Raw genomic sequence first — 3,623 nt, 5'->3', positions numbered from 1 at the left:
CCTAACACAAGTCACAGCTAGGAGAACTCAGATTTCCATTGCCAAACCAAAGCAGAACCCTGTGGTTGTTACCTCAGAAGCGTAAGCCGGAGGTGGGACAGCACTAAATCATCCTCTCTTTGTGTTTACCTTTTGGCCTGAACTATCTGGATAACTGGCTTAGCCTTTCATTTTGCCTAGAATGTGAAGACCTGGTAGGACTGTAAATAGAAATGTGCCCAGTCTTAACCCACAGGGCCAATCTCTTTATTATAACTCACCCCCACACTCTAAATAAACAATAAACCACTAGATAATGGCTGGGAAAAGTTCTGCCAAAATTACACACCTGCTGCTTCCAGACTTGAGAAACAGAAACTCAAAAGTGATTTACAGGAAAACAAAAGCACAAATAAAAAAAATGTAGCCTGTTGCAGTCCTACAGAGCAGGTTTTACTGGTGTCACTGCAATCTTAGTACTACATTATGTTAGTGCTCTGAGGTTCTGAGCCAAGGGCATGCCCCTCTGGAACGGGGGTGACTTCTCTCCACCGTCCTGTCCCAAGGGAGCATTTCACATTAGTATCTGTTAGGACAGCTGGAAAGATATTATTTTACCAAAAGAAACTTTCGTTATTAAAAGTTATGATTGTGCCTTCAGTACAGCTCGGCATGTGGTGTGTCAGCTTTGCTGTGCATTATTTTCCTATTACTATTCCAGGAAACCTCTCTATCAGGTGACTGCCTGCAGGGTAGGAAAAAAAAAGTCTAAAAGGAGCATTATAACTTATAGCCCAGAAGATTAAAATAAGAAGAGGAAGAAAACATTAAAAAAAGAAAACAGCAAGAAAAACCTGAGATCCCATGTCTCTCTGTCCCTTAGGAAAGTGTAATGTCTACCTGATTGTGTGGCTTAGTTCACATATGCAACACTTATTTTAAAGCCCACAAGAAAAGAAATTGCTGCACCCAAAGAAAATTTAAATGTACTTAAAATGTGGATGGCTATTGCCAAATTACACTCCAAAAAATGCTTTACTTTTATGACCCCTTCAGTCTTCACCAAACTGCGTGTGAGTCATCCTCTGCACTGGCTGGTGTGCATCTCTGGAATGCTCTTTCTGCCCCCACCAGCCTTTCCAGGCCACACCCTTTGTCTTCCTAAAGACTTAGCTTAAATGGTCATTACTCAGAGAGACCTTTCTTGAACTTTCTGCTTGAAATACCTTTCTGCCCTCCTGGGGATCCCTATGTGATTTCTTCATCAAAATTATTACATATTGTAACTACTTAATTTTATTTCCTTGGTTCCCTCTATTTCCTTCAGTAAAATTTAACCTCCCAGGAGAAAGGTACCTTCTGTCTTTTTAATCATTGCTTTTTCAATACCTAACTCACTGCTTGGCACATATTAAGTAACTGAATTGTTTTGTTGAATGAATGAACGATACACACTGGTGTTAAACAGAATAGAGTTCATTTATGGGCCCTGCCATTTATATTAGTCCATTTTCACATTGCTGATAAAGGCATACCCGAGACAGGGTAATTTATAAAGAAAAAGAGGCTTAATGGATGCACAGTTCCACATGGCTGGAAAGACCTCACAATCATGGCCAAAGGTGAAAGGCACATCTTACATGGCAGCAGACAAGAGAGAAAATGAGAGCCAAGCAAAAGAGGAAAACCCCTATAAAACAATCAGGTCTCCTAAGACTTATTCACTACCACAAGAACAGTATAGGGGAAACCACCCCCAGGATCTAATTATCTCCTACCAGGTCCCTCCTACAACACGTGGAATTATGGGAGCTACAATTCAAGATGAGATTTGGGTGGGGACACAGCAAAATGATATCACCCTTTGTTTACTGCATTATCTCGAGAGAGTTATCTACATCCCTCAATTATTTTGCGTTCTTTCATTTGTAAAGTAATAGTATTTCTAACCACATAGAGATTCTGTGAGCATTAGATGAAATAATGTTAAAAAGCATCATGTCTAACAAAAAAGAATTGACAATGGCGATCTATGATTATTATTGCCTGAACCAGGAAGAGGGCAGGAGGATGAAGTGCATTAGTGAATTCATCTAGGCTCTTGCTGGGACTTGTATATGAGAAGTGAGGCAACTTGAGTTGTTGATTGCCGGTTTCTTGGAAGCAGAAGACCACCACCTACCCAGCCATGATTTGCCTATAGAAAGAAGAAGTTGCTAAGGATACTTCTCCCTGAAGATATTTAAGGGATAAGATTTCCACAAATTATCTTATTTAAGTATTTCTGGATCCTGTAGTGTCTTCTTTCTGTGGCATGTCCCTACAAGGAAGCAACTGTAAAACAGTCATGAAAGGAATAGGAATTTGTGCCCAACCCCACCCTACCACCACCTTTCCTCCCATCACTACATAGCTAGAGAAGCCTAAAGGTTGGGAGAAAGATTCTGAAGCAGAGTAATGAGTTGCTCTATTGTCTTTAGGAAGGGAGCCAAGAAATCTGATGGAGGCTCGCATTTGACTTGTAACTCAGGGATATAATTACTCCATTGGAAAATGTAAAGAATTAAAAAAAAAATTAAGGCCAGGCGTGGTGGCTCACGCCTGTAATCCCAGCACTTTCGGAGGCCAAGGCAGGTGGATCACGAAGTCAGGAGATCGAGACCATGGTAACACGGTGAAACCCCCTCTCTACTAAAAGTACAAAAAATTAGCTGGGAGTGGTGGCCGGCGCCTGTAGTCCCAGCTGCTTGGGAGGCTGAGGCAGGAGAATGGCGTGAACCCGGGAGGCGGAGCTTGCAGTGAGCCGAGATCGTGCCACTGCACTCCAGCCTGGGCGTTAGAGAGAGACTCCGTCTCACCAAGAAGAAAAAAAAAAATTTAAACCTAAAACTTTCTTTTTTTTTTTTTTGAGAAAGAGTCTCCCCCTGTCACCCAGGTTGGAGCGTAGTGGTGTGATTTCGGCTCACTGCAGCCTCCACCTCCTGTGCTCAAGTGATTCTCCTGCCTCAGCCTCCCTTCAAGTAGCTGGGACTACAGGCACATGCCACCACACCCGGCTAATTTTTGTATTTTTAGTAGAGGCGGGGTTTCATCATGTTGGCCAGGCTGATCTCAAACTCCTGACCTCAAATGATCCACCCACCTTGGCCTCCCAAAGAGCTGGGATTACAGGCATGAGCCACTGTGCCCAGCCTAAAACTTTCTAATTTATATGTAAACTACCGTCATATAATTAAATTATCTTTTGGTGATGAATTCCATTATAAATCATCTAAGCAGAAATTAAAAGTGTCCCCACAAGAAGAATGTAAACTTTATTTTAATTTTGAAAAGGTATGTTCATTATCATTTAGTAACCAAAATAAGGTTAACACAAATTTTTAATTTTTATTTAGAATAACTTTAAAAATAGACCATTTTTATTGAAATTGTCTAGGAATTTGCTTAATTTTCCACTGTGGCTCTGTGGAGCTCTTATCAAACTATAGGAGGTAAGCTCTATTTCATATTCTGCTCACAGGTCTACAAGGTTCTTGATAGAGCTCAGGTAATTAAATGACATACTAAGGTCAATATTTCCACTGACAGTAGCTCTGGCTCTGCCTGAATATCCAAAGTATTTCGAGGTGGGGGTAGGTAGTGTT

The sequence above is a fragment of the Homo sapiens genome, chromosome 6 (assembly GCF_000001405.40).
Source record: "Homo sapiens chromosome 6, GRCh38.p14 Primary Assembly".
Classification (NCBI taxonomy): domain Eukaryota; kingdom Metazoa; phylum Chordata; class Mammalia; order Primates; family Hominidae; genus Homo; species Homo sapiens.
Note: the sequence above shows the minus strand (reverse complement) of the source record.